The following is a 14,045-nucleotide window of genomic DNA, read 5'->3' on the forward strand; positions in this document are numbered from 1 at the left end:
AGAACCAGAATAATTACAATTTTTAAGTCTGTTTTGCTAATTCAAGCAAAAAGACAAATCCTAGAAAGAGTAAATATCTGAGATAAATTAATGGCATAGCTGTGCAGTTCATTCCATATTTAATAAAGATTATGTAAACACTTACTAAAGCTTGTTTGTGATACTGTGTCTTTGAGTAATGACTTCAGTACAGATCAATCTTGCCCTTTTTAAAATGAGGATAAACATACAATATGTAAAGTAAAAGTTACTATTATTAATGATAGTTTTTTAAAAATTTAAAATAATTGGTTGATATATCTGGATTTCCAACTTTCACTTGAAGTTTTTAATAAATGTTTGTAAGCTAGACATCTTTCAGTAATCTATGCCATGACAGAAAGTATTAATGACAGTACAGAAAGTTATTTAAATATTTGAATCTTAGGGATGTAAATGAGATTGATATTAAAGCAGACATTACAGCCAGTTTTCAGGGTTTTTGTTTAGCAAAAGTTAATTGAGCATCTACTTTGGGGAAAGACGTAGCACTGAGCCACATTTAACCAGCAAACCTCTTTTTTATCCAGCATAGTCCTTTTGTTTTTCATTTTTATTTTTTAAATTATCATGCAATAAAATTATTCTCTACATACAGCTTTATGACTTACACACATGTAAAGGTTTATATAATGACCAACACAATGGACATACAGAACATTTTGATCACTCTCAAAACTCTCTTGTGCTATATACCTTTATAATCACATGCTCATCCCGTCCCTAATCCCTGAAAACCACTGATGTGTTCTCCATTATTTTAGTTTTGTCTTTTTGATAATGTTGTAAAATATTAATATACTGTTAAAATATAGAATCCTATAGTATACAACCTTGAGACTGGCCTCTTTTACTCAGTAAAATTGCCTATAGATTCATGCAAGTTGTTTGCATATATTTATAGTTTGTTCTTTTTTATTGCTCAGTAGTATTCCATTGTATGAATGATCCACAGTTTATCCATTCAGCTGCTGAAGGACAAGTGGATTGTTTTAGGTTTTGCAAATTATGAATAGAACTTTTACAGACATTCATGTGCTTATTTTTGTGTGAACCTAATTTTTTATTTCTCTAGGGTAAATACTCAGGAGTGGGATTGCTGGATCATATGGTAAGTATATATTTACTTATATGAGAAATTGTCAAATTGTTTTCCAGAATGGCTGTACCATTTTGCATTCCAAGCAGCAAAGACTTCCATTTTCTGTGCGTCCTTGAAAGCAAGCACTGGTATTCTCAGTGTTTTAAAATTTTAGTCATTCAAATACATAGACAGTTGTATCACATCATGACTTTAATTTGCTTTTCCTTAAGGATGCTGAACATATGTGCTTATTTTACATTTGTATATATTCTTTAGTTAAGTGTCTTCAAATCTTTTGGGCTGGTGTGGCAGCTTATGTCTATAATCCCAGCACTTTTGAGAGGCCAAGGCAGGAGGATTGCTTGAGTTCAGGAGTTCAAGACCAGCCTGGGCAACATAGCAAAACCTTATCTCTACAAAAAAAAAAATTAAAAAAAAATTAGCTGAGCGTGGTGGTGTGTGCCTGTAGTCCTAGCTACTTGGAGGCTGAGGTCAGAAGATTGCTTGAGCCCAGGAGTCCAAGGCTACAGTGAGCTATGATTACACCACCGCACTCCAGCCTGTCTCAAAAAATACAAAAACAATCTTTTACTCACTTTTTAATTGGGTTATTTTCTTTCTTTTAAGGGTTCTTTATATATTTGGGATACAAGTGTTTCATTTGATATGTGATTTGTAAATATTTTCTCTCAGTCTATAGCTTTTCTTTTTATTCTCTTAATTTTTTTCCTGTAGAGCCAACCTGTTTAATTTTTATGACGTCCTATTTCTCAAAAAACGTTTTAATAGATTATGCTTTTGGTGTTGTATCTAAGAACTCTGCCTCGTACTAGGTTATGAAGATTTTCTCCTATGGTTTCTTCAAAAAGTTTTATAGTTTTAAGTTTTACATAAAATTGAGAATTAGGATTCATTTAAAATTAATTTGTAATAAGTTGTGAGACTTAAGGGGTATATTATTTTACATAGAGATCCTCAGTTGTTTCAGCACCAGTTGTTGAAAACAATGTCCTTCCTTCATTGAAATGCATTTGCAGCTTTGTCAAAAATAAGTTGTCTGAAAATGTGTGGGTATATTTCTGGACTCTGTTCTGTACAGTTCATATTTATGTCTGTGCTTTTGTTAGTACCCCTTTTTTCCTGTGACTTTGTTATTCTTTTTCAAAATGGTTTAGCTATTTTAATTTTTTGACTTTCCATATAAAACTTAAAATCAGTCTGTTTATATTTATAAAACATCATGTTGGGATTTTGATTGGAATTATATTGAAGCTATAGATAAACTTGGGGAGAATTGAAATCTTTACTATGTTGACTCTCGTAATACGTGAACATGGTATGTCTTTCTTTTTAAGTCTTTGATTTCTTTCATCAGCATTTTGCAGTTTCCAGCATTCAGAACCTGTGCATGTTTATTTAGATTTATACCAAGTATTTTTTCTTTTGAGAGGAGTTATTGTTATTTAAAATTTTTTTGACTCACAATTATATATTGCTAATGTTTAAAAACACTATTTTTGTTTTGACTTTGTATCTTGTGTTATTAAGAGTATACATTCTTGACGTTTCTTGTCAGATTTATTCCTATTATTTTTAATGCTGTTGCTAAATGCTAATGTTTTATTAAATCATAGTTTCCAATTCTTCATTATAGTATAATGCTGAATGGAGGTGTTGAGAGCAGAAATCCTTGTCTTCTTCCTGATATTAGCATGAAAGCATTCATTCACCAGTAAATATAATGTCAGTTGTATGCTCTTTTTCAGGTTGAGGACATTTTCTTCCATTTCTGGTTTGCTGATAGTATTCTCATGAATGGATGTTGAATTCTGTAGAATGCTTTTTCTGTATGAGTTTGATATGATCATGTGTTTTCAATGTTAATAATAATTCACTATCAAATATTGAGATAGTCTTGCATTCCCGCCATAAACTACACTTTGTTATACTATATTATTATGTGTATTACTAGATACTATTTGCCAATCATTTTTGAGGATTTTTTATGCCTCCGTCGTTGAAGAATATTAGTCTGAAATTGTCTCTGTTTTTTGTAATGTCTTTGTCTGATTTTGGTACTAGGGTATGATGGCCTTATGAAATGAGTTAGTTGTCTTTTTTTTGTTTTCTGGAAAATAATGAGGATAACATTTTTTTTTCAATTGACATGGAGTCTTGCTCTGTCACCAGGCTGGAGTGCAGTGGCGCGATCTCAGCTCACTGCAACCCCTGCCTCCCAGGTTCAAGTGATTCTTCTGCCTCAGCCTCCTGAGAGCTGGGACTACAAGCGCACGCCACCACGCTCAGCTAATTTTTTTTTTTTGTATTTTTAGTAGAGATGGGGTTTCACCATGTTGGCCAGAATGGTCTCTATCTCCTGACCTCATGATCCGCCTGCCTCAGCCTCCCAAAGTGCTAGGATTACAGGCGTGAGCCACCGCGCCTGGCCGAGGATAACATTTTTTTACTTAAATCCCCAGTGTTTCATAGTGAAACTACCTGAGCCTGGAGATGTGTTTGTTGAAAGGCATTTAACTATGAATGCAATTTCTTTAATAATTACAGGACAATCCAGGTTATCTACTTCATATGGGGTAAATTTTGATGTTGTTTTTGAAGAATTATCTAAGTTGTCAAAATTACATGTTTAACATTGTTCATAATATTCCTTATTTGTTATTTTAATGTCTGTTGGGTCTGTAATGATAACCTCTTTTCAATCCTGATAATGATGGCTTCTCTCCTTTTTTTAGTCTTGCTGGAGGTTTATTAAGTTTATTGATATTTTTAAGGAAACAGCTTTAGGTTTCAATTGTTTTTATTGATTTTAAAATTGTTTTACTGTTTTCAAAATTTGTTTATATGTAAATATGTATATATTTACATATATTTCTTCTCTTTACTTCCTTTGCTTTGAATTTATTTGTCCTTCTTTTATAATATTTTTATGATAGAAACTTCTATTACTGATTTGAGATTTTTTCTTACCTAATCATTTAATGCTATAAATTTCCTTTACTGTATTAGCTGTATACTATAAATTTTATTATGTGATATTTTTATTTTGATGCAGTTAAAACTTTTTCTGATTTGTTTTGCAACTTCATTTGGTCCATCTAGTTTATCTAAGTTATTAGTGTATTCAGGAAATTGCCAGTATATCAGCATTTTGAGGAAATTAATAAAAATTTTAATCCTAGAACAAAACATTTTTTTCGCTGAATTGAGAGAAACTAAAGCTACCATTAGTATAGTTGCATAGTATTTCCTAATATTTCTAAATAATTCTATTTAAACAGCATTTCATTCTACTATATTTGTATTTCTTACCTTTAGGCCTATTTAATATAAATAAAAGAAAATGTCTCTTTAAGGCCACAGGAAGCTGTTGTGAAAAGAGGCAGTTTTTCCTTATGTGTCTGTGGAGTATTATACTTGAAAATTAAAATAATTGACCATATATCATGGTTTGTAATAAATCACTGAGTCATCTACAGTAATTCTATTACATTATTTTCAGTGAGCTAAATGAATTAAGATGACTTGTATTATTAAAAGGGTGTGATTTAGACACTACGCATAATAGAAGCTAATAAATTATATTAAAGACCTGCTTATTTGGTTTTATCTAGCAAAGACATATCTTCTACAAAGGCACTAAGTTTCATTTTCATGGATCTGCATATAGAGATCATTTTGAAATTTTTACAGTTTTTAAAGGAGCCCATTTAATATTTCATCTCTTGATTCATCATCTTAAAATCTTATACAAATCACACTCCAAATATATATTTGATTATGCAGTAGAATTAAAATAGTGATCCAAATATTGGAGAATTATTCCCCATTCATTCTCCTCTTCCTCAAGCAGAAAATTAATGGTTATTGAAATGAAAAGCTTCAGTAATGGAAATATGACAATTTTGAGTTTATAATACACATTTCTTATGGTTTTATTAAACATAGAAAGTCACAAAATAGTCGTTTAGTAAAGAAGACAATCAATAGATTAAAAGAGCATCATGACCTTTAGTCATATATTGAAACAGATCATTATTTATTGCTCACTCTACTTTGTGTCAAATTATTATTTCAGTATAAGTTTGTTACTCTGTTTTATGAATGTAAAAATACCTAGGGCATACTCAGTAAGTTGATAATTCTAATTTTATTCTACCTTCTAGGAAGTCATCATCTACTAGAATAAGATATAAATGTGCAGTCAAGTTAAATAAATAAAACTAAATATCTTAATTTGGCCTTTCTGCTAACATCCAGCTAAATGAGCAGGTGTGGAACAAAATAATGTATGATTGATAATGCCTTTACCTGAAGTAATTATATAGATCTAATTTTCTAATGCTTAGCACAGTACTTTGTACATAATAGATGCTCAAGTATTTTTTAAAGGGTCTTTTTTATTTTAGGATAGTTTTGGATTTATAGAAAAGCTTTGAAGATAGTACAGGGAGTTCCCAAATGCTCCACACGTAGTCTTCTGGATTGTTCATATCTTACATTAGTATGATACATTTGTCACATTTTATGAACCAATATCAATACATTATTAATAGTATTTATACTGTATTCAGATTTATTTAGTTTTTACCTAATAAGTCTTTTTTTTGTTGTTTCAGAATCTCATCTAGGATACCACATTACAATTAGTTGTCATGTCTCATTAGGTTCCTCTTGGCTGTGACAGTTTCTCAGACTTTCTCTGTTTTTGATGACCTTGACAGTTTTGAGGAGTACTGGTTAGTTATTTTGTAAAAGGCCCCTCAACTGAGATTTGTCTGATGTTTTCCCCATGATTAGACTGGGCTTATCGGTTGTGTCATGGGTTCCCAAAACTACTGTATTTGATGATTCACTAAGAGGACTCATAGAACTAAGCATGAATTCATACTTCCAGCTATGTTTTTTTTTAATTATACTTTAAGTTTTAGGGTACATGTGCACAATGTGCACGTTAGTTACATATGTATACATGTGCCATGTTGGTGTGCTGCACCCATTAACTCATCTTACAACAAAAGGATATAAACCAACATCAGCAAAGGGAGGGGGTACATGGGGGTGAAATCTGGAGGAAACCAGGTGCAAGCTTCCAAGAGTTCTCGCCCCATGGAGTTACACAGAATGTGCTAAATTCCCTCAACAGTAAGTTATGACAACAGGTGTGAAATGCTGTGCACCAGGAAGGTCATTATAGACTCAGTAGCTAAGGTTTTTATTGGGAGCTGGTCACATAGGTACCCACTGTCTGACACATACCAAAATTCCAAACTTCTGGAAGGAAAACAGGTGTTAAGCATAAATCACATTGTAGTTTGGGCACAGTGAGTCACTATTATCAATTAGGATGATGGGAGCTCTCCCAAAATTCAAGTTTCTGGATGACACAAGGGCCAGCCTTGTAAATGAAGACAAATATGCTATGTTATCTCTTCTCTGCACATGAGTTTCGGGGAGGAAGACTACAGAGATAAAATGCCATTCTTTATTAGAAGAATACATACTATCAACATGAGTTATCACTGTTGATGTTAACTTGAGAATGTTTTGTAACAGAGGAAAAATAATTGTCACACTTACATATCCCTTACATTAGTTTTCTATTGCTGCTATAACAAATCACTATAAACATTGGTTAAAATAACACAGTTTTATCATCTTATAGTTCTGAAGGTCACAAATCTGAAAATGGGCCTTGTGGGGCTGATATCAATATGTTGACAGGGTAGTATTTCTTCTGGAGGCTCTATAATAGAATCTGTTCCTTTCTTTTTCCAGCTTCTAGAGTCTACCCTCATTTCTTGGCTTGTGGCCCCCTTCCAGCCATATGGCATCACTACAACTCCTATTTTCTTTCATCACATCTTCTTTCTGACCCTTTAAGGACCCTTGTGATTACATTGGGTCTACCTGAATAATCCAAGGTAATTTTCCCATCTCAGGGTCCTTAACTTAATCATAGCTGCAAAGTCCCCTTTCCCATGTAAGGTAGTACATTCACAGGATCTTAGATTAGGACCTGGACATCTTTGGGGAGTCATTATTCTGCCTGCCTCACCTTTCTGGATGCCAGTTATTTTTCTGAGTGCATTATTTCATTTAATTTGACACAATTTTAGAGATAATTTCTATTATTATCCCTATTTTATAGATGGAGAAACTGAGTCTCTGGTTAAATAACTTCCCTAGGCCTACAAACCTAGTATGTGATAATAGACCTGTGTCCCAAAGTTTGTGCCCTTAACCATTATTCCACAGCCTTTCAAGAAAGAAAGTTTTTCTCCCACATATTTTATCTTTTTTTTTGATGATTCAGAAAACATTTTACTATCATATATCTTTATTCTTCATTCATCCTTTCCTTCATGTAACTAATGATCACTTGGTAGTTTACTCTTTGCCAGAAACTGTGTCAAGTATTGAGGATACAACAATGAATGAAATATCATCGCTTCCTGGAAATGGAAGTAGAGGGGGGGAGACACGTGAATTTCAGTAATCATTTTCTTGGGTATTTGCAGAAATGCCATATTGTAGAGAATTTTGGACAGCAGTTTACTTAATATGGGATTGCTTTGGCCAAGACCTTGAGATGCAACTGCGAATTCTAAAGTAGTCACAAAGGAGCAAGCATGATTGGCTCTGTTAGATTTTCTTCAGTTGATCTAGGTTGGGGTGTGTGTGTGTGTGTGTGTGTGTGTGTGTGTGTGTGTGTGTACATACATATTTATATCTCAAGTTATTCCAGGGTCAAAAACTATTGAAAGGAAGAGAGGTAAACAAAAGGAATTTAAAGAGGTTTAGACTTGAGTTGATAGAGTCCTTGACAAAGGATTTATTAACAGCAGCAAAGAAAATTCTGATGGATGTTATAGAGGGAAAGACAGCTGATTTCAGTGGTTGCCAGGCCAACAAAGGTAGATAAAGAACCATACTGGGAGAGAGAAAATATTTTGATCCTATGCTGTCCAACACCTAATATAGGCCCTGGCAGTAAAATGGTATAAATATTTATGTCCAAGTAATGTTTAGTTCATTTATATAGCTTTTCTTACCCTGCTATTGAGAGAATGAGAGTTTTGATTACGAGCAAGGGGGAAAGAGAATGGGAGGGAGAAGTTGTAGTGGTGAGGTGATGACAGCAGGTTAATATTTAATGAGCTTTATTGTATGCTAGGTACAGTGGGAGGTATTTTACTTGCATTACCAGATTTACATGAGCTACTAGGTCACTGGAGTATAGGAAAGGTCTGAGAAAAGAGCACTGACGTCCTCAGGCACTGGGGGGAAATGTCAGTTGGGAGGTAGGAGAACAGCAAAGATGCATGCTGTCTTTCCCAAGTGCTGTGGTTTGAACATGTCACCTCCAAAATGCATATGTTGCCTATGTGATAGTATTCACAGATGGGGCCTTTAAAGGATAATTAGGCCTGAGGACTCCTTCTTCATTAATGGAATTAAAGCCCTTTTGAAACAGGCTGTATACAGTGTTCGGCTAGCTTGCTCTCTTACCCTTCCACCTTCTGCCATGTGAGGATGCAGCAAGGAGGCCTTCACCACACCAAATGCTGGTCCCTTGACCTTGGGCTGCTGGCCTCCCAAACTGTGAGAAAATCATTTTCTTGTCTCAATAAATTACCCAGTCTTGGGCATTCTGTTACTAGCAACCCAAAAGGAATAAGATGCTAAGTTTTATGTAAAGCCAGCTTGTTAGGGGAAAAAATCAGAATCATCAGCTAGTCTCAGAGTAGTAACACACACAGAAAACTGGAACTAACCATTTTGGTCTGAGCTTAGTGCTAGCTGTGTTTGATGAATAGAACTAGGTGATGGCTTCAGCTCTTTTGGCCTTACGCATAGGAAAAACTATCTTTTTTTCATTCTAAATCTGCACATTTGGCCCGGCCGCCCCGTCTGGGAAGTGTGGAGCGCCTCTGCCCAGCCGCCCCGTCTGGGAAGTGAGGAGCGCCTCTGCCCGGCCGCCCTGTCTGGGAAGTGAGGAGCGCCTCTGCCTGGCCGCCCATCGTCTGGGATGTGAGGAGCGCCTCTGCCCAGCCGGCCATCGTCTGGGATGTGAGGAGTGCCTCTGCCTGGCCGCCCTCCGTCTGGGAGGTGAGGAGCGCCTCTGCCCGGCCGCCCTTCGTCTGGGAGGTGAGGAGCGCCTCTGCCTGGCTGCCCCGTCTGGGAGGAAGTGAGCGCCTCTGCCTAGCCGCCCTGTCTGGGAGGTGAGGAGCGTCTCTGCCCGGCCGCCCCGTCTGGGAAGTGAGGAGCGCCTCTGCCCGGCTGCCCCGTCTGGGAAGTGAGGAGCGCCTCTGCCTGGCCGCCCCGTCTGGGAAGTGAGGAGCGCCTCTGCCTGGCCACCCTTCGTCTGAGATGTGAGGAGCACCTCTGCCCAGCCTCCCTTTGGCTGGGAGGTGAGGAGTGCCTCTGCCCGGCCGCCCCGTCTGGGATGAAGCGAGCGCCTCTGCCCGGCCGCCCCGTCTGGGAAGTGAGGAGTGCCTCTGCCCGGCCACCCCATCTGGCCACCCCATCTGGGAAGTGAGGAGCGCCTCTGCCCGGCTGCCCCGTCTGGGAAGTGAGGAGCGCCTCTGCCCGGCCGCCCCTTCTGGGAAGTGAGGAGCGCCTCTGCCCGGCCGCCCCGTCTGGGAAGTGAGGAGCGCCTCTGCCTGGCCGCCCCATCTGGGAAGTGAGGAGCGCCTCTGCCTGGCTGCCCCATCTGGGAAGTGAGGAGTGCCTCTGCCCGGCTGCCCCATCTGGGAGGTGTACCCCACAGCTCCGAAGAGGCAGCGACCATCGAGAACGGGCCATGATGACAATGGCGGTTTTGTCGAAAAGAAAAGGGGGAAATGTGGGGAAAAGAAAGATCAGATTGTTACTGTGTCTGTGTAGAAAGAAGTAGACATAGGAGACTCCATTTTGTTCTGTACTAAGAAAAATTCTTCTGCCTTGGGATGCTGTTGATCTATAACCTTACCCCCAACCCCATGCTCTCTGAAACATGTGCTGTGTCAACTCAGGGTTAAATGGATTAAGGGCGGTGCAAGATGTGCTTTGTTAAACAGATGCTTGAAGGCAGCATGCTCGTTAAGAGTCATCACCACTCCCTAATCTCAAGTACCCAGGGACACAAACACTGCTGAAGGCCGCAGGGACCTCTGCCTAGGAAAACCAGAGACCTTTGTTCACGTGTTTATCTGCTGACCTTCTCTCCATTATTATCCTATGACCCTGCCACATCCCCCTCTCTGAGAAACACCCAAGAATGATCAATAAATACTAAAAAAAAAAAAAGAAAAAATTTTTGTTGTTTTAAGCCACATTTGTGATATTTTGCTACAGCAGCCACAGCACAGATATAGCTGGTAACAGAGTTCTTTAGCCTCCAAAATACAAGCCTGGGGTAAATAACTATTGAATTTGGCCACATGGAAATCAGGAAGAATGTAATAAGCATCATCGATGGATGGGATGACCTGGGAGATCGTGGCAAGTTTAAAGCTAATTGGAAGTTGGCAACCAAAAAGTCCTGTCTTGCAAATTGCCAGGAAATTGCCAAGAAAACCTTTAGAAAACATGATTAAAGATGGAGAAACCCGGCTGACTCCCTGGTTTCTGAAGAGGTGCTTAGGCATTTAAATGAGACTGACGAGACTTCACACTGTACCCTTCAGAAGGGCAGACACTCACGAGATCGTCAACCACGGCTCCCTCGCTGGGAGGCAGACACAGAGCTGGAGGCAGCGGCCACAAACTAGGTGGGCAGAGAGGCGTCAGCATCGGGACTTGCAGGAGGCCCTGGGAAGGAACAGGCAGCGGTGGGGCCTGGACAGCCTTGGGGAAAGGAAGTTACTTGGAGGAGACCAGGGGCTTGCATTTGGGCCAAAACCAAGGACGAGATCAGCTGGTCCCAGGGAACTCTGGAGCCCAGCACCCCACCATGGGTGCAGGGGCCTGACAACCCAACAGAAGGCTGTGGGTACCGGGCACCAGCCTGTGGGGGGTCTGAAGGCTGCTGCCCAGCCACACATGTCCTGGTCCCGAACAAAGGGTTCAAGAGGCACCTGGAGCCCCGCCCTCCTCAGAGCAGCCTCTTAGCCTCAGCTGGTTGTTGGCCTTTGGTCACCCCACATGCCCTGACAGTGGGGCCTGGCCTCAGAAAGGGGCCCCTCCATTTGTACTTTCTATCTGATCCTTGACACAGTGCTAACACCAAAGACCAAACCCGAATCTTGGTTCACATACTCTGCAAAGAAATGACTAAGACTAGTTCTTCTGGAGGTCAGTTTTAGAACATGTTTATTCTAACTTAATTCTGCCTTATCTCTGTGCACCAAGAAAACTATCTGCACATGTGTAGTAAAATGTGAAGGTACCTTCATTTTGTTTGTACACTAAACTTTTAAGAAATATCTCACTTTTAAAATAAATAAATAAATAAAAAATAAATCTGCACATTTGGTTTTATTTACCATGTCAACCAAGATGTACACTGCCAACCTGTTTTTCTCTCTCATTGCTCCATGTCTGCCCTTACCCATTTTTAAAACCATAGTCACTTGCTGGTAGTGCTTCCTTGTCCTGCCTTGTCCCATGTGGAGATGCAAATCTCACCTACTCCTCTCACGTGTGGAGACCTTACAATATCAGCCTCCATGTGCCCCCAAACTTGGGAGGTACCTGGAATCCTCTCCTTGGCTCAGCATACCAACTGTAATTATCACCTGGGATTCCTTTTTACAAAGTAATATTTTAAAGTTAATATTTAATCTTAGAAGCAATATAATAGTGTCAGAGGGCTGAAAACTGAAAATATATGTAAGCATCAATCATTAGGAGGCCAAATTTGGTCAGGCACGGTGGCTCTTGCCTGAAATCCTAGCCTTTGGGAGGCTGACGCAAGAGGACTGCTTGAGCCCAGGAGTTCAAGGCCAGCTGGAGCAACATAGTGAGACCCCCATCTCTACAAAAAATGTATACTTAGCTGGGCATGGTTATGCAAGCCTATAGTCCCAGCTACTGGAGAGGATGAGGTGGGAGGATCGCTTGAGTCCGGGAGGTTGAGACTGCAGTAAGCCATGATGGTACCATTGCACCCCATCCTGGATGACAGAACAATACCCTGTCTCAAAAATAAAATAAAATGCCAAATTTGAGAGCGTTGTTATCTATGAAGGGGAAGGAGAATGTAATCTGGAATGCTATTAATTATGTTTTATTTCTTAAGCTGGGCAGTATTATCACAGATGTTATTTTCTGTTCTATTTTATGTCTCCAGTATTTTGTAAAACGTTAAAAAAATCATTATAAGTCATTACCCTAATATTATACCCTTTTTATTCATTTCTTGGTGCAGAAGCTTAGATCACTCACCTTTGTTCTCCTTGTAAAGCCAGAGGGAAAATCTCCAACAGACCATATAGCCAAGTATTATTTTACCTAAGAGGCCCAATTTCAAAATAATGCTTTTAAGATAATCTATCAGAATAAAAATTGAATGATAATCCATGACCAAAACTTTCTATTACTGCTTTTTTTTTTTTTTTTTTTTTTTTGAGACAAGGTCTCACTCTGTCACCCAGGTTGGAGTGCAGTGGCGTGATCTCGGCTCACTGCAACTTCTGCCTCCTTAGCTCAAGTGATCCTCTCACCTCAGCCCCCCAAGTAGGTGCAACTACAGGCACACATCACCAAGCCCAGCTAAGTTATTGTGTATTTTTTGTAGAGATGCGGTCTCACTATATTGCCCAGGCTGGTCTTGAATTCCTGGACTCAAGTGACTCAGCCACCTCAGCCTCCCAAAGTGCTGGGATTACAGGCTTGAGGCACTGCACCTGGCCTAAAACTTTCTACTAAAAAATAATTACATATCTGTGCTGTCCTGAAATATGCTATTTAGCTCTTAAATTCTGTACTTTTGTGACCCTCTCTGAAGTGCTGGTTTATTAACGGTGAAATGGATCATCTTGTTTTTCAACACTAGAGGGCACCAAATTCTCTTCTAGAGCAAAACAATCAATGTTTTCCACCAAAGAACTTCATTTACTAGGGTAGAATATGGATTGGTATATTTTCAGTCGTTTGATAACCAAAAACGTAAGAGATTTTGTGCTTTATGATAAAGGGTTTAGAGAATCATAGTAAGGCTTTCTCTTGCTATGAATCTGTCTCTAGCTAAGAATCTGTCAATGCTTTTGCTAAACTGCTTTTCAGGAACATTTATTGTATGTTTGTCCAGAGGGAATAAAACAGCTACTCTGGGTTAATGCTTGGGATAACTTATTTTTAAGGGTTAGGGTTAGACACATCGTTTATTCTGGTTTTAAGTTTCAGGTAGCATGTGCAGTTTTCTGAAAATAGGCATTTCCCCTAAATTCAGGATAAAATCAATAGCCGGTATTGTGCTTCAGTGTGAATTGGGGTGCTGGTAGAGAGGAGTGAAATGATGTTAGCTAGTAGGTTACAGTGAGCCATTCATATACATTGATGTTTAGCAGAGTTTCTTAACTTGGGTTTGATAAATCATCCTTTTATTCTTCAATAAAAGTGATTGGAACAAGGTCACACCAGTCAATGACTTCTTGTCACTAATTATACCTTTTTTTGTCCAATTAAAACATTTAAAGATATTTTTGCATTGTACATTAAATTATTTCTGGTTGCTGAATTTTTCTCCTTTTATCTCTAGCCACAACAATGGGTAGTCTATTTAGGTTGTCTAATCTGTAGGAAATACAAATGAGGCAACTTCTATAAAGCAGCAGCATAATCCAGTGAGATAAATGCCAAGCATGTATTTTAAGGAAATGAAGGTACTAGCACTCTCTGTGTACTTTGATACTATGTTCATTTGCTATTGCCACTGTCACAAATTACCACAAATTAAGTTGTTTAAAACACACACATT

General features: G+C 38.6%; 1 protein-coding gene across 15 annotated transcripts in view; it reads left to right on the top strand.

Annotated features, from left to right (window-relative positions):
- The window catches only part of RNF180 (ring finger protein 180), a 207,519-nt gene that overhangs the window by 50,896 nt on the left and 142,578 nt on the right, over positions 1 to 14,045 (top strand). For 13 of the 15 annotated variants that reach the window (XM_047417118.1, XM_047417120.1, XM_017009388.2 and 10 more), the window contains exon 5: positions 1,115 to 1,150. In XM_047417118.1, coding sequence (XP_047273074.1) covers positions 1,115 to 1,150 — 36 coding nt within the window. Of the gene's footprint in view, positions 1 to 1,114; positions 1,541 to 14,045 lie in introns of those variants that run through there. The other 2 variants (NM_178532.4, NM_001323291.1) reach the window with 1 other exon arrangement.

The sequence above is a fragment of the Homo sapiens genome, chromosome 5 (assembly GCF_000001405.40).
Source record: "Homo sapiens chromosome 5, GRCh38.p14 Primary Assembly".
NCBI classification, from domain to species: domain Eukaryota; kingdom Metazoa; phylum Chordata; class Mammalia; order Primates; family Hominidae; genus Homo; species Homo sapiens.